At 41.8% G+C, this 22,175-nt stretch overlaps 1 pseudogene across 4 annotated transcripts; it reads left to right on the forward strand.

The window, feature by feature from the left end:
* The first annotated feature begins 4,783 nt into the window (after window positions 1–4,783).
* On the forward strand, window positions 4,784–16,614 carry LOC105369140 (NBPF member 6 pseudogene; annotated as a pseudogene). 4 transcript variants are annotated; one of them, NR_160531.1, is made up of 6 exons: window positions 4,784–4,949; window positions 5,166–5,375; window positions 7,620–7,722; window positions 10,349–10,584; window positions 15,819–16,280; window positions 16,381–16,614. The product of NR_160531.1 is annotated as an NBPF member 6 pseudogene, transcript variant 4 (transcript). The 4 variants fall into 4 exon arrangements; NR_160529.1 differs by having other exon boundaries at window positions 16,142–16,280; NR_160528.1 differs by lacking the exon at window positions 15,819–16,280.
* Window positions 16,615–22,175: the final 5,561 nt, after the last annotated feature.

Below are 22,175 nucleotides of genomic sequence, written 5' to 3' on the forward strand. Positions count from 1 at the left end.
TTGTCTTTGTCTCTACGTGTTATTCTGTCATAAAAGGGGGTACTGGTTGAGGTTCCTTCTTATCTTATTTTATGTCCTTGAGAGCTTGACTTGTGACAAAGTGGGAGCACTTTCTCTTGGTTTCCGCTATCGGGTAAGAGGTGGTAATTTTCAGGTCATATTAGGTGGCCTGTCTGAAAATGGCTGGAAACCCGAGTACACTTTTTGTTCTAACTATGTCAAGCTCTTGGGGTTTGTCTTAAGAAGTCCCATCCCTTCGAGGCTTTTGCCGTCTCAACTCTTGTTGCCTGATTAGTCCTAGAAAAGCTCAGTCCCAAGAGGGCCTACCTGGTATCACAGATTCACAGGTCTGTGACTGGAAGCCTCCACAAATTTGTGGGTTACTGGAGGCAATCATCATCCTTAACTATCTGTGGCCTACTCCTTACATTGAACTTTTTTCTTGGAGGGGAGTCTTTGGGATTGCCTCTTCTATGCCCTTCCCAGGAAGTTAACCTGGAAAATGACATCCTGGGCTTTCCACAAAGAGGCTATTTGGTTGAATTGCTATTGGAATAATTATACCATTGGATATTCTAGTTGCCAATGGCCTGAAGATGGATCCCTTAAATTAGACACCTGAATTAAAAAAAAAAAATTAGAGATCTCTTATTTGAAACAGTTGATAGGAAGATCAAATTAAAAGAAAGGCACATACTAGTGTGATAGCTACCCTTAAAAATTCTCTTGACAATATTATCTGTCTTGTGTAGGGAAAAAATTCTCTTGACTAAATTAAAGAGCAAAATTTGATCCAAAACAAAGTTAAAATTCTTCATAAGCTCAAACTGCCTGCTCTGGATCCCTTCCAGGATTCACAATAAAGTCTGCTCTACCTTGCAGTTTAGTACTTAAAGTTCTGTGCTTTTGCTGCCATAGCCTGGGTTCAATTTCCAGTCAGGGAACCAGTTTATTTTGGCTTGATATTTGTGTGACTTTTGACTTTTTGGAATACCCATTTATTGATCCTTTTCCCGTTCATGGGCAGCTTTTTTTGTTCTTTTTGTTTGTTTGTTTATTAAGACAGATTCTCACTCTATTACCCAGGCTGGAGTGCAGTGGTGCAATCTCGGCTCACTGCAAACTCCGCCTCCCAGGTTCAAGTGATTCTCCCACCTCAGTCTCTCAAGTAGCTGGGATTACAGCCACCCACCACCATGCCTGGCTAAGTTTTGTATTGTATTATTAGTAGAGACAGGGTTTTGCCATTTTGGCCAGGCTGGTCTTGAGCTCCTGACCTCAAGTGATCTGCCCGCCTTGGCCTCCCAAAGTCTTGGGATTATAGATGTGAGCCACCACTCCTGGCCATTGGCAGCTTTTGATTTCCTGTCCTCCCAACTTCCAAAGTTTATGAAGAGAAATCTGTTGATAATCTTATTAAAGATTTCTTACGTGTGATCAGTTGCTTTTCTCTTACCGATTTAAAGATTCTCTGTTTTTGACTTTTGAAAGTTTGATTATAATGTGTTTTGGTGTCGGTCTCTTTAAGTTTATCTTACTTGGAGTTTGCCTGGCTACTGTGTTTGTATTCAGGTCTTTCATCAAATTTGGGAAGTTTTCAGCCATTATTTCTTCAAATATTCTCTCTTGCCCCTCTCTCCTTCTTCTTTATAAATTCCACAATGCAAGGCTGGGTATAGTGGCTCATGCCTGGAATCTCAGCATTTTGGGAGGTCGAGGTGGGAGGATCACCTGAGGTCAGGAGTTTGAGACCAGCCTGACCAACATGGAGAAACCCCGTCTCTGCTAAAAATACAAAATTACCCAGGCATGGTGGTGCATGCCTGCAATCCCAGCTACTCGGGAGGCTGAGGTGGGAGAATCGCTTGAACCCAAGAAGCAGAGTTTGCGGTGAGCCGAGATCACGCCATTGCATTCCAGTCTGGGCAGCAAGAGCGAAACTCCATCCCCCCACCCCCCACCCCCAAAACAACAACAACAAAAAAGGAATTCCACAATGAATATGTTGGTCCACTTGATGGTCACTTAGGCTCTGTTCACTTTTCTTCAATTTTTTTTTATTTCTGTTCCTCAAACTGGATGATTTCCATTGCCTTATCTTCAGGTTCACTGATTGTTTCTTCTGCCTGCTCAGCTTTCTTCAAATTTGACTTTGAATCCCTCTAGTTAATTTTTTATTTCACCTATTTTACTTTTCAGATCCAGCACTTTTTTGTTTCTTTTTTGATTTTCTATCCTTTATTTATATTTTCATTTTGTTCATGCATTATTTTCTTGTCTTGTGCTACATCTTCCTTTAGTTTTTGGGTACCTTTAAGACACCTGTTTCAAAGTCTGTCAAGTAGCACATCCAGGAGGTTGTTTTTTTCTCTCTCTCTTTAATTATTTATTATTTTTCTTTTCATTTTCTTCCCCCATGACCAAATCTTAACTTGACTATCAGGCATTTTTCAGTGAGAGTTTCTGTTGGTTCATTTTTTTTTATTTATTTTTATTGTTGTTGTTGAAAACTGGACATTTGAATCTACTAGTGTGGTTAATTCCAGAAATTAGATTCTCCTCCTTCCTCAGGGTTTGCTGTTTTTCTGTTATTGTTTTGTTTTTTGATTATTGTAGGTTGTCTCTATGCCAAGGATCAGCCTGAGGTATAAACTTATGGTCTTCACAGATGTTTTCTGAGCCTGAACCTTTCCCTGGGTGTGTGGTCACTCCCTAATTTTACCTATATATGCAGTTATTCTTGAATATTTTATCCTTTAATGTCTGGCTCCCAAAAGGGGAAAAAGAGAAAAATTGAGGGAGGGTGAAAAAAGGGCACCATCCCTTTAAACTTTCTGGAAGTTGCTTCAGCTTAGGGTGAGGAGCTTGCTACAATGGGGGAAGGTACAGCAGTAGCTGCCAGCCTCTTTGTCTCTGTGCTGCAATCAGACATTAGAGAACAGAGCCCCAATGTGTGTGTGTGTGTGTGTGTGTGTGTGTGTGTGTGTGTGTGTGTGTGTGTGTGTTTTGAGATGGAGTCTTTCTCTGTCACCCAGGCTAGAGTGCAGTGGCATGATCTCAGCTCACTGCAGCCTCCGCCTCCTGGGTCAAGTGATTCTTGTGCCCCAGCCTCCTGAGTGGCTGGGATTATAGGTGCCTGCCACCACACCTGACTAATTTTAGTAGAGACAGAGTTTTACCATGTGGGCCTGGCTGGTCTTGAACTCCTGACCTCAAGTAATCCACCCACCTCGGTCTCCCAAAGTGCTAGGATTACAGGCATGAGCTACTGCACCTGGCCCAGACCCCCAGTGTTTGGAGACAGCATTCTTTTTGCCCATTCTGGATCCTGAAAGATGTGTGCAGCTTACTGTAGGAACACAAGCTGACTGCCTTGGGGGTAGTGTTGGGTAGCTGCTATTGTGCTAAGGGCCGAAATTGACTGAAATTACCTACAATTTACCATCTGGGCCTTCCTCTGGAAGTTGCAAGCCTTCAGTAGGCTCCAGAGTTCTGAAATATTTACATCTGACAGATCCTGCCCATGCAGTTGTTGTGTAGATTCCAGGTGCTTCTCATTCCACCATCTTCCCAGGATACCCTCTGACCTTCTGGATTTTGAATTCAGTCAAGCTGTTCTCTAACAGCTGGGGTGAAAGCCAACAAAGATCCTGCTAAGAAAGCTCCCTGGAAAAAAAATGTTCAAAAGTAACACAAATATCAAACTGGAAAGAAATTGATTTAGGAACCGAACCCAGGTTGTCATGGTGAAAAAAGGAGCAGAACCTTAGCTACCGAACTGCAGCCTGGGGTATGAGGTGACTACCATCACTTTTTTAGTTTGGTTTGGCTAGCAAAGGTGGCCTTGTTATACAAATAAAGCCACTCAGGTAGTCAAAACCTTTATTTTCTGTTTTTTTTCTCTCTCTTTTTTTTTCTTTTTGAGAAGGAGTCTTGCTCTGTCACCCAGGCTGGAATGCAGTGGCGCAATCACGGCTCACTGCAAGCTCTGCCTCCCAGGTTCATGCCATTCTCCTGCCTCAGCCTCCCAAGTAGCTGGGACTACAGGCACCCGCCACCACGCCTGGCTAATTTTTTGTATTTTCAGTAGAGACGACGTTTCACCGTGTTAGCCAGGATGGTCTCGATCTCCTGACCTCATGATCCACCTGCCTCGGCCTCCCAAAGTGTTGGGATTACAGGCATGAGCCACCGTGCCTGGCCCTATGCCTGGCTAATTTTTAAAAATTTTTTGTAGAAGCAGGGTTTCGCCGTGCTCCCCAGGTTGGTCTCAAACTCCTGAGCTCAAGTGCTCCAACCACCTTGGTCTCCCAAAGTGGTGGGATTACAGGTGTCAACCACTGCACCTAGCCTCTAAATCCATATAAATCAATTATTCACGCACTGAGCAGAATATTCAGGATTTTTTTTCTTATAATATAAATGATGTGGAAAACTGGAGAACCAAAGAAGAACACCAAGACTATCTAAAAGTGTTAAATTTTTCATTAGAAAGAAAATGACTTCATGACAGTTCTTAAGACAATGATAGAACTTGGGGAAATATGTATTCCTTGATGTTTCTATGCATTTGCAATAATAAACAATGAAAATATGGTTAAATTTTAGAAAGAGATAGGCCTGTGGTATTGTCACAAGGGTATACAAATACTCAGAATGACTGCTGAGGCAGTGCTCTCCATTGGTGGTGACCTTCAGAAGAGACCTGTGTTTCCACATGGCCTAGACACCTGGAAGGCAGAGATCCTAACATTCCATGACACCCCCACCTTCTAATTCTGTTATTGTGACTCCAGACCATTACCTGGCACCGGGTCTGATTTCTGGCATTCCTATCAGAGCCTGAGTCACAGACAGTACCTTAGACTCTAAGCTTAGGCACCTTGTGCCTTGTTTTTGTGGCTAAGGATTCTCAGAGTTGTAGGATGCTGACAAAGTTTATCCCAAAGGTAATTTATGAATCAGATCTGCTTTCTTTTGACTTGTTTAAACCCTTCATTTAATGTAAAGAAACTTTATTGAGGTATAATTTACATACTATAAAATTTACCCATTATAATTGTACAGTTCAATAATTTTTAGTAATTTACCCAAGTAGTGCAACCATTACCACAATCCATGCATTTGTTTTTAATTTATTAATTGTCTGGGTTTATTCTCCCTAGGCTCTGATTGTACTTTCTCCACAAGCTTCAGCATGGCAGTATCTCTCACCACTTGTTTTGGTCCAAGGGCAGAAATGAGCATCCTGGAAACCAATCAGTACTTGCTCTCTGAACTGGAAAAGTGCAAAGAGAACTTCCGAGACCTCACAGAGAAATTCCTGACATCCAAAGCTACTGCCTACTCCCTGGCCAATCACCTGCAGAAATATAGTAGGTCCCATAGGGGCATGGTCACCAAAGTGATAAATGATTGTCTGTCTTTCCTCTGTGAAATGAAACACTGCAGACTTTATTCTTTATCAAAATTAATTTTATCCTAACTACACTCCCAGAAAGGTAGAAGTGGGCCTTTTACTCTCAATTTGCCAAGGACAGAAAAACTGAGGCACAAAGGTGTAAAGTTTGCAGGGCGAGTGTAGTGAGGAATAGAGACTAAAACCTTGGTTTAGGCATGAAACTGTCTTTCCCCTCTCAGCAATGAATATCAGATTCTACAAACATGTAACATCACTGTTGGTTAAAACATCTCAGGATTCGATTTAAACTTTTTTAAGAGCGCCCATTTGCAAAGCACTGTGCCAACAGCACCAGGGATGAAAGAAGTAATAGTATACCCTATCTGCCTTGAAGGAACTTAAAACTACCTATTCTCAACTGAGTCACAGATATGTGGAGATGCAAACTTCAATAGCAGACACGGAGAAAAATCTTTATGATACCTGGATCAAGATTCTCTTCCCACATAAGTTCACATAAGCCATTCCTCATGTTCTGGTTAGATTGAGGGTATTTCCATAAAAATCAGTGACTTTGTTACACCCTTTCTGTCTCTCTCTGAGTATCAACTTTACAGACAGCAAGCAACTGCAGGTGGATGTCCAGGATAAGAGCTATGAGACATATGGCCAAAATGAGAACAAGGCCAAGTGGAAGAGACCGCCATTCTCAGTAGAAGGCCAGGCCAGGTTAGGGGCTGGCCCTTTCCTCTCCACAGTTAGCTCTCACATTTTTAAATCCAATGTAAAATCCCAAACCTGTTACTAATAGTCGGAGAAGGGGGAAGCTATAATGACAAGGAAACATGGGAACAAGGGCATGAGAGGAACAGGGATATTAGAAGAGGATTCTGGTTAACATTGAAATTGAGTTTGCTTTCCAATTTCTACAATTGTTTTTAAATAAATCATCGTGTGGGGGGTGGTTAAATTTGCTGTCTAACTTACTGTCATAGAAAAGTAAAGCCAAAAGCCCACTTATTAAAGAAGTGAAAAGATGAGCTTTGGTTTGTTGAAAAACTAGTTAAAAAAAAAAAAAACTTCATTCATTATAATTGTAGGAAAAATATTTCTCAAGCTAGAGAAGAAGAAAGATATTACCTAAGACCTTAGTATAAAGGTATTATTGTGCAGTGATTAAAGAGCATATACCCTAGGGCCAAATCTCCTGGGTTCAAATCTAACTTATTGTCTCTGTGCCTCAGTTTTCTCATCTGTAATGGTAACAGAGTAGGAACTACCTCTTTGGATAGTGGTAATGATCATATGATCATAATTCTTAAAAACCTACTGCAACAGTACCATGACAAACACTATGTGTTGGTTCTCCCTTTAAAACACTATTAGCATTTGGGCATATATCATTTGGATCTTTCTCCTCCATATACAGTTTTACACAGTTGTATACAGATAAATGTTTAAATCTTTGAAATATTTTCGAATTATTGAAACTCTTGAAACAGGAGAACCATCAGTTCTACAGTTCTTAGTATCTTCCTAAATACACAGGAAGTCATTATTTCATGCCCTTATGTTCATGTTTTACTTAAGAGGCTGTAAGGCTTGGTGAATTGGCCTTAAGATTTGAAGTCATGGCCGGGTGCAGTGGCTCACTTACTGTAATCCCAGCACTTTGGGAAGCCAAGGTGGGCGGATCATTTGAGATCAGGAGTTCGAGAGCAGCCTGGCCAACATGGTGAAGCCCTGTCTCTACTGAAAATACAAAAACTAGCAGGGTGTGGTGGGGCACACTTGTAATCTCAGCTACTTGGAAGGCTGAGGCAGGAGAATAACCCGGGAGTCAGAGGTTGCAGTGAGCTGAGATCGTGCCACTGCATTCCAGCCTGGGGAACAAAGTGAGATTCCATCTCAAAAAAAAGAAAAGAAAAGAAAAGTAAAAGATGTGGAGTCAGACCCCATGGGACGTGAATTCTGACTGCTTCATTCCAGTTGAATCATCTTGTCAAGTTACTTTATCGGCCTGTGGGCTTTTCTTTCCTCATCTCTAAAACAGGGAGTAGTTGAGAGACTGAGGAATAAAGATATGGAAATCCCAGTGTAAAGCCTGGTACCGGGGATACTTTTATCCTTGAGATAGACCCTGCCTCCTGCCCTGCAGGCAGTGACCACAGCAGCATGGCCAGCCTTCCATGATGCAGGCATGTCTGTCTTCTCTCAGAGTGTGAAGAGTGCAAAGACCTTATAGAATCTGTGCTGGAGGAGGAGCTGCAGTTTCAGGAGAGGGAGCTGACCAAATTGCCAAGGCCAGCAGCAAGGCTCCGGTAAGGAGGTACCTCTGTGGGAAGTGTATAAATACTGTTTGAGGTGGGGCAGCTCAGGCAGGTAGAACAAAGAGCAAATTTGTGCAAGGAGAAGGGCAGAAATGTATGAGGCAGGTACAGAACTAGACTAAGACACAATGAGGCTATAGTCTAGTTAGGTCTCTAGGGTTTTCCATTAAAGAACATATTAGTAAAATGGAGACAGCTGCCTGCATTGGAATACTAGCAACGTGGCTTCTATTTGTGTATCCTTGGTCAAATTTACTGCACTTTTCTGCATGTCATTAACCTAGGCTACCTCATTTATAAAACGGAAATACTGACAGTATCTACCTTAGAGGGTTATGAAGATTAAATGCACAATTGCAAGTAGTTAAAACCATCTCTAACACATATAAAACTCTGAACAACTATTTTCTGTAATTATTTTATTTGTTCCCATTTATAGATGTGGTGATTGTCATTAACATTTCCTATAAGAGATATTTTCAAACTTTCCAAAGTGCCTTTCATGATAAGAAAGTTTCTCCTCCAAACTTTTTTAAAAAGTATTATACTAGGTGAAGTATTAACTGGTAGGGCTATTGGGTAGATAGATGATTGAGCAGCTGTTGTGTGGAAAATGAATTATTAATTCACTCAGGACCAGCATTGACTATCCTTAGAGGGTTTCAGACATAAGGTAGATTGTAGCATTTGAAACTTCTTTTAATCCTTTGTTGAAATGAAATCATAGAAGCTCAAATGTGTAAAACTCACCAAAGCAGAGATATTTGATTGAAGGAGGGATAGGTCTGGAGCCCCTGTTTCTCGCCAGTATGTGTCTTTACTTCCCCTGACACTGTCTAGTAACTCTGTCGAATAGAGTTTGAAAGAGGACCTGCAGATAACAACTTTGAAGAATAGCAGGGAGAAAATTCAAGCATTAGATGGGGTAGATGACTGTAAATGTTCAGTCCAGCTCTGGGATTACATGGTTCTAAACATTAACTGAATAACTACTTGTATGTGTACATACTACCAGGTGCTGTGAGTTGGGTAATAGGTGGCACTGTCTTTAGACTCACAGAGCTCACACTCTACATTGGAACCCATGTGTATTAGTCCATTCTGACACTGCTATAAACATGTACCTGAGTCTGGGTGATTTATAAAGAAAAGAGGTTTAATCGGCTCATGGTTCTGTGGGCTGTACAGGCTTCTGCTTCTGGGCAGGCCTCAGGAAACACAATCATTGCAGAAGTTGAAGGGGAAGCAGGCATGGTCTTCACATGGCCAGAACAGGAGAGAGAGAGAGAACAAAGAGGGAGGTGCTACACTTTCAAACAACCAGACCTCATGAGAACTCACTCACTACCACGAGAACAGGAAGGGGGAAGTCCACCCCCGTGATCCAGTCACTTTCCAGCAGGTCCCTCCCCCAACATTGGAGATTACAATCCAACATGAGGTTTAGGTGGGGACACAGAGCCAAACCATATCACCATGAGAAATATTTGAACAATAATTAGAAAGCAATGAAATCCCACATAGAGTAATGAAGTTACTACTCAGAACATTACTTCTTTTTTTTGAGATGGAGTCTTACCCTGTTGCCGAGGCTAGAGTGCAGTGGTGTGATCTCAGCTCACTGCAACCTCCACCTCCTAGGTTCAAGCGATCCTCCTAGGTCAGCCTCCCAAGGAGCTGAAAGTACAGGTGCACACCACCACACCAGCTAATTTTAGTATTTTTAGCAGAGATGGGGTTTCGCCATGTTGGCCAGGCTGCTCTCAAAACTCCTGACCTAAGGTGATCCGCCTGCCTTGGCCTCCCAAAGTGCTGGGATTACAGGCATGAGCCACTGCACATGGCCGGAACTTTAGTTTTAACTGCCTTCTTACTGATTATGGTCTACCTTCATGTCATTCAAAAGAATACTGCCCTTCTTGACCTTTTCACTGATTTTTCTTTTTAACTTTCAATTAATACCAGAGATACCTGCCCAACACTTTTGAATCTGGCTTTTTTTTTTTCTGCCAGTTACTGCATAATGCTTGATGTATATTGTATGAAAATGTACTTGGGCTAAAGTGGGGAACCAAAGGGGCATCTTTTTAAAGCAAAGGTAGTAAAATAACAGACAAACCCAAGGCTGGTTCTTCATTCCTTCTGCCACAGGCAAGTCACACAACTTGTACAAGAATTAATCTTGGGCCAGATGCAGTGGCTCATGCCTGTAGTCCCAGCACTTTGGGACACCGAGGTGCACGAGTCATTTGAGGTCAGGGGTTCGAGACTAGCATGGCCAACATGGCAAAACCCCATCTCTACAAAAAATATATAAATTATCCTGGCATGGTGGTGGGCACCTGTAATCCCAGCTACTTGGAAGGCTGAGGCAAGAGAATTGCTTGAACCTGGGAGGCGGAGGCAGAGGCGGAGGCTGCAGTGAGCCGAGATCTTGTCACTGCACTCCAGCCTGGGCGACAGAGTAAGATTCTGTCTCAAAAAAAAAAAAAAAGAAAAAAAAGAATTCAACTTGGGAGTTCCTTACAGGGATTCTAAGAGATCTCTCCTCTGAAACTTCTATAACCTATTATTCACTACATTCCCTCTTACATTTTACTCTTCTTTCCCACCTTAGGATACATGATCCCTTAATTCAGGCTCAGGCTGAAGAACTGACCCACTTACGACAGAAGATACAAGAAGGGAGAGGTGTCTGCTACCTTTTCACCCAGCATGTGAAGAACACAGTCAAGTCTTTTGAGGGCCTTCTCAGGAACACTGGCATTGCCTACTACCAGAGACAGAGATTCTGTGAGCAAATGGTACAAGGAAGCCAGCTAACAGAGATCCTTGTCAGAAAACTTGCCACAGGTAAGTTGGCTACAGGCTCTGAAGACCCTTAGCTCCTCCCAAGTGCCCCAAAGTGGGGAGAAAAAATGCAAAGTTATCTCCATTGTAGATTTTATTTTAGTTTTGACTATGGTCCTTAATCTGCATTCTATTGTTTTCTCTTTAGAGCACTCAGGTAATCACTTTTCATATTCTTTCAAGAGTCCTGAGTTTTGTTTTTTATTTTGAGACAGAGTCTGCTCTCTAACCCGAGCTAGAGTGCAGTGACGCGATCTTGGCTGACTGCAGTCTGTGCCTCCTGGGCTCAAGCAGTCATCCCACCTCAGCCTCCCAAGTAGCTGGGACTACAGGTGTGTGCCACCACACCTGGCTAATTTTCATATTTTTTGTAGAGACAGGGTTTCTCCATGTTGCCCAGGCTGGTCTTGAACTACTGAGCTCAAGTGACCCATCTGCTGTGGCCTCCCAAAGTTCTGGGATTACAGATATGAGCCACTGTGCCTGGCCTGAGAGTTCTTAGTTTCAATCAGTAAGAGAGGTAGAGTATAGTGGATTACTTCATCTTGATGAGCATAAGAACTCACCTTCATTTCTGGAAGATATTTTCACTGGATGTAGGATTCTAGTTGACAGTTTGTGTTTTTAAAAAGTGTTTGAAAAGTGATATTCCACTGTCTTCTGGCTTACATTGTTTCCAACAAGAAGTCTTCCATAATTCTTATTTTTGTTCCTCTGTACATAATATGTCTTTTTCTCTGGCCGCTTTTGAGATTTTCTGTTTATCACTGGTTTGAAGCAGTTTGATTAAGGTAAGACCATGTATAGTTTTATCTTTTAAGTATTGTTTTACTTTATTTAGTTTCTTGCATCTGCATGTTTATAGTTCTCATCAAATTTGAATAGTAATGACATATATAGTCTTATCTATGGCATATACAGTATATTTGGCACATATATATCAAATATATATAATGTATATTCTATTCTTTCTCTCTATCCTCTCCTTCAAAGACTCCAGTTATATTTGTATTAGCTGCTTTGAAATTTTACCATAGCTGACTAATGGTCTGTTCATTTTTGTTGTATCTTTTTTTTCTCTCTTTGTTTCTTTCTATTTCCATGTCTCGGAATTGATTAATCTTTCTTTAGCAGCATCTAATCTGCTGTTAATCCTATCCAGTGTATTTTCATCTCAAACTTTATTTTTCTTTTTTTTTTTATTTTCCACTTTGTCATTGTGTGTTGGTTTTTTTTGTTTTTTTTTTTATTATACTTTAAGTTTTAGGGTACATGTCCACAATGTGCAGGTTAGTTACATATGTATATATGTGCCATGCTGGTGTGCTGCACCCACTAACACGTCATCTAGCATTAGGTATATCTCCCAATGTTATCCCTCCCCCCTCCCCCCACCCCACAACAGTCCCTAGAGTGTGATGTTCCCCTTCCTGTGTCCATGTGTTCTCATTGTTCAATTCCCACCTATGAGTGAGAATATGCAGTGTTTGGTTTTTTGTTCCTGCGATAGTTTACTGAGAATGATGATTTCCAATTTCATCCATGTCCCTACAAAGGACATGAACTCATCATTTTTTATGGCTGCATAGTATTCCATGGTGTATATGTGCCACATTTTCTTAATCCAGTCTATCATTGTTGGACATTTGGGTTGGTTCCAAGTCTTTGCTATTGTGAATAATGCTGAAATAAACATACGTGTGCATGTGTCTTTATGGCAGCATGATTTATAGTCCTTTGGGTATATACCCAGTAATGGGATGGCTGGGTCAAATGGTATTTCTAGTTCTAGATCCCTGAGGAATCGCCACACTGACTTCCACAATGGTTGAAATAGTTCACAGTCCCACCAACAGTGTAAAAGTGTTCCTATTTCTCCACATCCTCTCCAGCACCTGTTGTTTCCTGACTTTTTAATGATTGCCATTCTAACTGGTGTGAGATGGTATCTCATTGTGGTTTTGATTTGCATTTCTCTGATGGCCAGTGATGGTGAGCATTTTTTCATGTGTTTTTTGGCTGCATAAATGTCTTCTTTTGAGAAGTGTCTGTTCATGTCCTTCACCCACTTTTTGATGGGGTTGTTTGTTTTTTTCTTGTAAATTTGTTTGAGTTCATTGTAGATTCTGGATATTAGCCCTTTGTCAGATGAGTAGGTTGCGAAAATTTTCTCCCATTTTGTAGGTTGCCTGTTCACTCTGATGGTAGTTTCCTTTGCTGTGCAGAAGCTCTTCAGTTTAATTAGATCCCATTTGTCAACTTTGGCTTTTGCTGCCATTGCTTTTGGTGATTTAGACATGAAGTCCTTGCCCATGCCTATGTCCTGAATGGTAATGCCTAGGTTTTCTTCTAGGGTTTTTATGGTTTTAGGTCTAACGTTTAAGTCTTTAATCCATCTTGAATTGATTTTTGTACAAGGTGTAAGGAAGGGATCCAGTTTCAGCTTTCTACATATGGCTAGCCAGTTTTCCCAGCACCATTTGTTAAATAGGGAATCCTTTTCCCATTGCTTGTTTTTCTCAGATTTGTCAAAGATCAGATAGTTGTAGATATGCAGCATTATTTCTGAGGGCTCTGTTCTGCTCCATTGATCTATATCTCTGTTTTGGTACCAGTACCAGGCTGTTTTGGTTACTGTAGCCTTGTAGTATAGTTTGAAGTCAGGTAGTGTGATGCCTCCATCTTTGTTCTTTTGGCTGAGGATTGACTTGGTGATGCGGGCTCTTTTTTGGTTCCATATGAACTTTAAAGTAGTTTTTTCCAATTCTGTGAAGAAAGTCATTGGTAGCTTGATGGGGATGGCATTGAATCTGTAAATTACCTTGAGCAGTATGGCCATTTTCACGATATTGATTCTTCCTACCCATGAGCATGGAATGTTCTTCTATTTGTTTGTATCCTCTTTTATTTCCTTGAGCAGTGGTTTGTAGTTCTCCTTGAAGAGGTCCTTCACTTCCCTTGTAAGTTGGATTCAAACTTTATTTTTCATCTAAATTTAATTTATGTCTTTCTTTAAGGTCTTCTATGTAACTCTTCATCATTTCGTATTTTGCTCTAGCTTCTTTATTTTATTTTATTCTATTTTTTGAGACAGAGTCTCACTCTGTTGCCCAGGCTGAAGTGCAGTGGTGAGATTTTGGCTCACTGCAACCTTCACCTCCTGGGTTCAAGTGATTCCTATGCCTCCTGTGCCTCAGCCTCCTGAGTAGCTGGGGTTACAGGCACATGCCTCCACACCCAGCTAATTTTCATATTTTTCAGAGAGACGGGGTTTCACCACATTGGCCAGGCTGATCTCAAACTCCTGACCTCAGGTGACCCACCCGCCTTGGCCTCGCAAAGTGCTGGGATTACAAGCATGAGCCACCACACCAGCCTAGCTTCTTTAATACAAGGAATATAGTTATGTTTGTTTCAATGTGCTTGTCTACAGATTCTGTCATCTGTGTCCTTTTTATTGTTTTTTAATTCTCACCTGATGTGTCCTTTCTAAGTCAGTTTAAGTAGATTGATTTTTTTCCCCCTTCTTATCATGGATTATAGTTTTCTGTCTGTCTGCATTCCTAACATTATTTGATTTGGGGTTAGACGTTGCAAATTGTAACTTACTGAGTTCTGGATTTTTTTGAATTTAGTGTTAAAATTATTTTAGCTTTGTTTTGGTATACAATAAAGTTACTTAAAAACAATTTTCATCTTTTCAGGCTGGCTTTTAAATTTTTTTAGGCAGGATAAGAGCAGCTATTAGTCAACTGCTATCTTTTTCCCACTGTGGAGGCAAAATGACTTTTAAGAAAATAGACCTTATTTTTTAGAGTAGTTTCAGATTCACAGCAAATGAGCAGGAAGTACAAAAAGTTCCCATATACCCCCTGCCTCCACACATGCATAGCCTCCTAGATTATCAACATCTCTCTCCAGAATGGCACATTTGTTACAGTTGATGAACTTACAATGACATGTCATTATCACACAAAGTCCATAGTTTACATTGGGAGCAATAATCTTTTGAAGATTCTAAGTCAGTGATCTCCCACAGATTTGGCACCAGGGACTGGTTGCATGAAAGACAATTTTTCCACAGACAAGGTGGGGGTGGGGTGGTAGGGATTGGGAATTGGGTGGTTTCAGTACGAAACTGTTCCACCTCAGATCATCAGGCACTAGTTAAGAGTCTCATAAGGAGCGTGCAACCTAGATCCCTGGCATGTACAGTTCACAATAGGGTTTGTGTTCCAATGCTAATCTAATGTCATCGCTGATCTGACAGAAGGCTGAGCTCAGGTGGTAATGCTTTCTCGCTGGCTGCTCCCCTTCTCCTGTGCAGCCCCATTCCTAACAGGCCATGGACCAGTGCTGGGGGTTGGGGACTCCTGTTCTAACCAATGCTCCCTCTATTAAAAGGGATTTTCACTCTAGCTGATGGAAACACCAAGTGTTGCAAGCTATGTGTGAGCTACAGAGATTATTCCTTTTGGGAAGTTCTTTGCCCTGCTTTGCATAATTTCCTCAAATACATGTACTAATCAGTACTTAGCTGAAGATTGAAGACAGATATCCAAGGCATTCTATCTGTGCAGCAACCTATTCTCTAGTCTGTCCTGTGATGTCTAGCCACCCTGACTTCTTCAAACTTACTACCAGGCTCTGCCTGGGTCCTCCCTCCCTGCTCTACAGTTGACAATCTCAGGCAGCAAACTGGAGCAATTATAGGGCTCACCTCTTTTATTTATTATAGTACTGCACTATATCCAATGTTGAAGGTAGAGTTTAAAATACTTTTTCCAGTTTCTCAGTTGTTTAAGGTGGAGGACAAATCAGGTCTCCATTACTCCAAATTGGCCAGAAGCAGAAGTCTCCATTCCATCTTTGTGGTCAGAAAGAACAGTATGACAGAAGGCAGCTTGTTAGAATGGGAAGACCCATGGGCTAAGAATCAGCATTACCTAGGCTCTAGTCTCAGCACTGTATTTACTAACTTTGTGCAAGTGATTGATCCTTCTTGAATTTCTGTTTCCCCATTTGTAAAGTGGGTCAAATCATAATTCCATGGCTGCTGTACAGATCAGTTGAAGTAGTATCTTAATGTTCATGAGTGTATTTCTCTTTCAGGGTTATTTATTTTTTTATTTTTGGGTCCCAATAAACCGTCCAAATCTTTTGGGGTTAGTTCAGGCACTGTATATAGTAGAAGCTGGTGTTAGAAAAGTTGATTTATACTGGAATATTTTTCACAGAATCAACCCCAATGCTCACTAACAAACTGAGAAGAAAAAAAAAGAATTACCCCCAACAACATCTGAGGAAGTAGAACAGGGACAGACTTGAAGGCACCTGGGCAGTCCTCTGGTTTTGGAGTAGAGGTAGGACAGGGCTATTTGTCCTCTCAGAGACTGGAGCAGGTTCTGTGTGTGAGTAGCAATGGGACAAACAGTCGTGGTCTGGCAACCAGCCTGTAGCAGGAAGGAAGGTTACAACGGGAGAAGTCCAAAGGGCAGCCAGGCAAGTATTCTTTGAGCTGGGGAACAAAAGGCATTTTAAACTTTTTGCTCTGCTTCAGGCAGCTGACGTCTGGTGATGATTCACCATATCAGGAACACCCTGTCCAGTGGGCTCAGGCAAGCCTGCCAGGCCACTTCTCTAAAGACACAACCTGAGGCCTCCTGCAATAATTCTCACAGAGCATTCTGAACATACATGTAAGGTGTTATGTCCCTGATCATATAGGGCCCATGTGTGCAATGTGTGAAATGGGACCTGCTTAAATTCTGACTAGCTCTTTCTAATTTTGGCTTGCAGAAAATCACAATGGTAAGAAAATGAAGACAGGCAAAAGCCACTGGCTCCCAGGTAACTCTACATGATGAAGGGGCTGATAATGGACTGACCAAATCTAGAGAGAATTCCAGAAGCAAGGACTCAAGAGGTTAAAGGTCCCAGATCTAGAAAAAGCAGAAACTGCTGATTGTTCCTTTTTTTGTTGACTGATTATACAATGTGTCCTTTTAAAAATGGTTCTCTGTTCTCTTTGCAGTTGTTGTATTGGTTCCTAGTTCCTAGTAATTTCTCACACTTAGTTAACCAGTCAGTCTTACCGAAAAGTAAACTAACCAGGGATCCCTGGTTTCTGTATCTTTAAAACCTATAGGGTTACAAACCAAAGTGAGATGCCTATCTGGTTTCTGCACAGTTGTCCTGAATTATGTTGGCAGATATTTTATAGCCAGAAATTTACCTTGAAAAATAAATTGAAACCATACCAAGTATTTAGAGCTAGGGGTCTAAAATCTGCAAAAGCCCTGGGAGGTTGTGTTGTCTCAAGAGCCAGTATTCAGTGGACCACTCCACATCATATTAAATAAAATTTAAACAGCATTTTGAAGCCGACAGTATGGGTCACTGTGTGTCCTGTGTGCCGTGAGCGTATTGTAGAGTAGTTGTTGAGTCTGCTGCCTTATCTGTGTGTTATGAGGTCAATGCACTGAGCACTTGCTTTTTTCACTTCTATACTAACTCTAGGCACACTTTACTCCCAGTCAAAAGTGGACTGTATACTTCCTCTTTGATGTGATGGTCCCTTTGGTTTTGGTGCCTCTTCCATGAGCTTCAGATCAGAACTAGCTATGTGGTTCCAGGCTGCCCTGGTTTAATCCCTTGTCTTGCCTACTTCACCTGGCTCAAGAGGGAAGTCCAGGAGGAAGAAATGGATGAAGTCCTGGAGGACTCACTAGATGAACAGTATTTGACTCATTCCAGCTGCCATGACTCCCACCAGCTTCCCAGCAGCAATGCCTTCCTCTTTGATGCACAGGAAGGCCCCTCGGCTGTGGAAATAGCCAGTAAGTGCTCCTTTGATAAGAAAAATAAAGCTCCATCAATCTCTCAGTAGCTCCTACATTCTACATGCTCACCACCTCTGTCTAAACTGAGAGATGTTATTCTCTGCAGGCAGGCCCTAAACATTCACTTTAAAAAAGTGATTAGGCTGAACACAGCTCTGGGATCAACTCTCAAGTACAGGTCCCTGGTGGGTCAGGTAATTTGCTCTGTTCCTGTCCTCACCTCAGTCCCTCTGGTCCAGACGGGCATCTGCAAGCCGGTATACTCAAAGCAGGCCAGAATGGAGAGAGTGAAGAGATTATGGCAGACTCTCTGCCACTACTGCCACACATGTACAAATCTGTTTAACAGATCTTCTTCTTTAAAATGGGACATCTCATCTTTCCTGAAATATATATATTTTTTGAGACAGGGTCTCTTGTTCTGTCACCCAGGCTAGAGTGCAGTGGCATGATCTTGGCTCACCACAACCTAAAACCCAGGGTCAAATGACCCTCCCACCTCAGCCTCCTGAGTAGCTGAGAACACAGATGCATGCCACTACTCCTGGCTATTTTTTTTTGCCTTTTTGGTAGAGGTGGGTTCTTGCTTTTTTGCCCAGGCTGGCCTCAAACTCCTGAACTCAAGCAATTCACCCACCCCTGCCTCCCAAAGTGCTGGGATTACAGATGTGAGCCACTGCACCCAGCCTTCCTGAAATATTCTTGGTAATTATAGTTCCTGAACAGTTTTCCCAAGCTGTTCTAGCCATCCCAAGAATGTTGGCAGGCTTGTCCATATGTTTGGAGGTGCAATTATAATGGTTCCTGGGTTTCAAGCTCCAGTCTCCATCTCCCCTCAGGTGCTTGCTTTCCCATAAGGTTCCATCTGACTACTGGAATATCAGGGGATTTCCATAAAGACAAGACTTTGATCTTGGCAACCCTTTGGTAAATAGCCAGGGTTCTCAATCTTTGTGCAGCACCAAGGTATTTTTAAGATGTCTGTTAGTTTAGTCTCAGTGTTGTAATTCCATCTAAATAAACAATGAGGCTATCTGCTGGAGAAAAGGCTGAATCTAAGAGCAATGCTGCCAGCATGCCCTCTTCCCAGAATAACTCCACGCTAGCCATTGGAGCTTCATTAGGTATATAAGAGCCCTTTGGTTTGGTAGCCTCTCTGGTGTGTGTATAGATTAAATCCTTGACCTATATCTCCTCTCCCTTACTTGAATGTTTGACTTTACTTTGGGGGCAAAAGTTTGGATTGTTAGGAGACTATATGCTTTATATACTCTTCTATGCAATAAAAAGAGATTATATTAATTCACTCATTGAGCTTTCACAGTAATGTAAACCATATTAGGCTTGTCATTCTGTCAGTGATGGGTGTAAGTTTGTGGCTTTAATTAGTCATACCATCTTCTGACAAAGGCATCCTTATTTCTCTTTCCAATTTCACAGTAAGGTGCAGAAGAAGGTCTTTACCATCTGTTAAAGATGTTCAGGGCCGGGCACGGTGGCACACACCTATAATCCCAGCCCTTTGGGAGGCCTAGGTGGGTGGATCACTTGAGGTCAGGAGTTCAAGACCAGCCCGGCCAACATGCTGAAACCCCGTCTCTACTAAAAATGCAAAAATTAGCTAAGCATAGTGGTGCACGCCTGTAGTCTCAGCCACTTGGGAGGCTGAGGCATGAGAATCCTTTGAACCTGGGAGACGGAGGTTGCACTGAGCCAAGATGGTGCCTCTGCACTCCAGCTTGGGTGACAGAATGAGACTCTGTCAAAAAACAACAACAAAAACAAAATATGATCAGGAGAGATATTTTGTAGAGAGGAAGATATTCCCTAGTACCTATAAGTCATCTCAAGGAGGTGGTCATACCTTTTCTAGTGCTAGAAAAGGCCTACTCAGAGACCTTCAGTGTTTTCCCACCTCCTGTCAACCTGCCTTATACTTCCCATATCTCCATGTGGGAGGCATCCCTGTGGAGTTTGCTTAGCACTTGGCCATGCTTTCTTTGAAACCTTAAAAGCTCGTAAAGAAAGTTGCCTTATGTTCCCTGATGAGAAGATGAAGTTGGCAAAAGAATGGTGAAAGGCAGGGATCTTGATGAGAGGCCCCTGACTATCCCTTTAGTGATCAGCATCTTCACTTCCCATCTCATTCCATGTCCTGGTGGAATGGCTGCAGAAGATGAGATCCAGAGCCAGTGGCAGCACCTGAAAGAGATCCTTTTCATCAACAACTGCCTGTGAGAAAAGCTAGAACATCATCACAGCAGCTTTGACGAAGAAAATGGTAGGAGAGGCCCAAGTCAGCCTGCTTCTGGCAATATGTATTTTTCTAAAGGCATGTGACTGGGGCAGAGTTTTATAGATTTCAAGCACTTTGACATACTTTACTTCACTTATTCATTACAAATGTCCCAGCTAGAGAGGTAGGGCAGCTACTATCATTCCTATTTATAGGTAAATAAATAGGCTTAAAGATTTGCCTTCATCTTAGTGGTATCTACCTCTAAAATCATTCTTGTGATTCCTAGGCTGTCTTCTGTCTTCTGTCTGCTGCTGTACACTGCCTGCTGTCTCTCTGCTTCTTATGTGATTGGCATTCAGTAGAACCCAGGTTTCTCAGCACCTCACGTAGCAGAATGAGAGTCTCCTCTGCTGCCATCCTCATCAGTTTCCCTTATGTCTTGGTGACTCTTCATTCTACCACCCCAAGGTGGTTCTCTCCAACCCCCCTCCTCTTAGATTGTTCTCACACAGAGGCCGTCATTTCATAACATTGTGCTGGGCCAGAAGAATCATAAGCAGGTCCCTTCCCATACCAAAGCAGTAACTATTTTGGAAAAGCCTCCTTCATATTGCAGCCATTGGACATGATAATACATGTGATGTGCTGGCATTTGTTGAGAATCATGTGAAAATTAAGCTTCCACCCCATCACACTAACGTTCCAGCCCTCCACGGTTTTCTCCCTAGGCTAAGATAGAGAGGAAGAACATGAAATGTGCAGAAAGCATTCTCTTAAGCAAACGTGTATAACTTGCGTAAATTGTAATTATTTCCTGGAACAGGATGCACCTCTAACCTCTACAGGCAAATCATAGATTCCATTGTCCAGCTGTAAAATGAAAACAGAGTTCTCAGAGAAGAATACCGGAGACTCCCCCGACTTGCCTGAATCAAATTTCCAGAGGTAAGTGGTGAAAGGCTACAATATGAAGTCACTCTCAGATGGGTCCCTTCTCTTGCCACACTCCACTGTAGAAATAAAAGAGGACGGGGAGGCCAGAGCTGCTCAAAACCTTATAACCCACAATTCTCATAGTCATTCTCAACTTAGAGAGGGCTGCTTTCTAGACACACCCCCTCCAGGCCCCCAGACTGCCAGGCTCCAGGAATAAGTAGCTCTAAGAAATACAGTATTTCGATGCGAGCCACACCCCACTATTGCAAATTGGAGAAGAGAAGGACAAACTTAAAAGGTGAAAAGATTTAACAGAACAACAGGGTGAAACCCCATCTCTAATAAAAATACAAAACTTAGCTGGGCGTGGTGGCATGCACCTGTAGTCCCAGCTACTCAGGAGGCTGAGGCAGGAGAATCATTTCAACCCAGGAGGCAGACGTTGCAGCGAGCCAAGTTTGCACCACTGCATTCTAGCCTGAGTGACAGAGCATGACTCCATCTCAAAAAAAAAAGAAAAAAAGAAAGACAGAAAAGATTTAAGAGAACAATTATTTTAATTGAATACATTTTGTCAAGATTAAATCAACTTTCCCCTAGAATACTGAAAGAATAAGCAATCATAATTTAGATTCTAAGTTACTGGCCTTTGAGAAAGTGTGAAATCCAAAAAGATGCCATGAGCCAAAAAAGAGCAAAAGTCCTAATTTTCAAACTGATGAAAATAAAGTACTAAATAATTGAAATCATCGTAGTTCATCTTGGTCCTTGGCAAAATAAAAATTTATTGATTGAAATTATAATATCCTAGCTACCTTTTTGTGCCTAGCTCTTACCACTGAGGAGAAAAACCAAACACAAACAAAAGTATGTTCAAATTGGCAAAAATGTTTACAAACCTGCAAAATCTCTTCAGCCTATCCCTTAAACTGCAGACTTGGTATTTACTAAGCTCTGCTGTGTACAATACCCACCTTAATATCCATTCTTGCACAAGTTCTGTTAGGTATAAGCCAAAATCACATGGGATTTTTTTTTTTACCCTCTCATGCCTATGTTTGCTTTTGCTTCCAAAGACCCTTCTGAGTAAGGACTGTCCTCAGACTACTGGAGTCACTTAGTCACAAGCTTGCCTGAGGCTCAGAGCTGGCAATACCTGGCAGTTTATGTCAATCCCACATGCAACCCTGCCTGCAAAGTATTTACCCATGATTGACAGGTGCAGGTGTATGAAAGCCCAGCTCCTTGACTTGAGGGGTGCGTTTGTGGTGAATTAGCTTTGGGAAAAGGGAATCCAGAGGCCAACTTTGTAAAAATCCAGATAGGTAAATGGAGAGAAATCTTTGCCTTGGAAGTCCAATTGAGAAAGATAGTGATTTACTTCGGACTGTGAAAGGAGAGACTAAAATCTTTACTTTCTCATGGGAAAGAAGCCTATGGTGAAAGAGAAACAAAGAAAATGGTGGGAAATAGGGTAGGTCTACTCAGTAGCTTTAAACCATTCTGTCATATTATAAAGCCTGGTAAGGTTTTAACTAACACAAGTGCCTGGACTCTACACATAGATATTCTGATTT

Source organism: Homo sapiens, chromosome 1 (assembly GCF_000001405.40).
Source record: "Homo sapiens chromosome 1, GRCh38.p14 Primary Assembly".
Classification (NCBI taxonomy): Eukaryota; Metazoa; Chordata; class Mammalia; order Primates; family Hominidae; genus Homo; species Homo sapiens.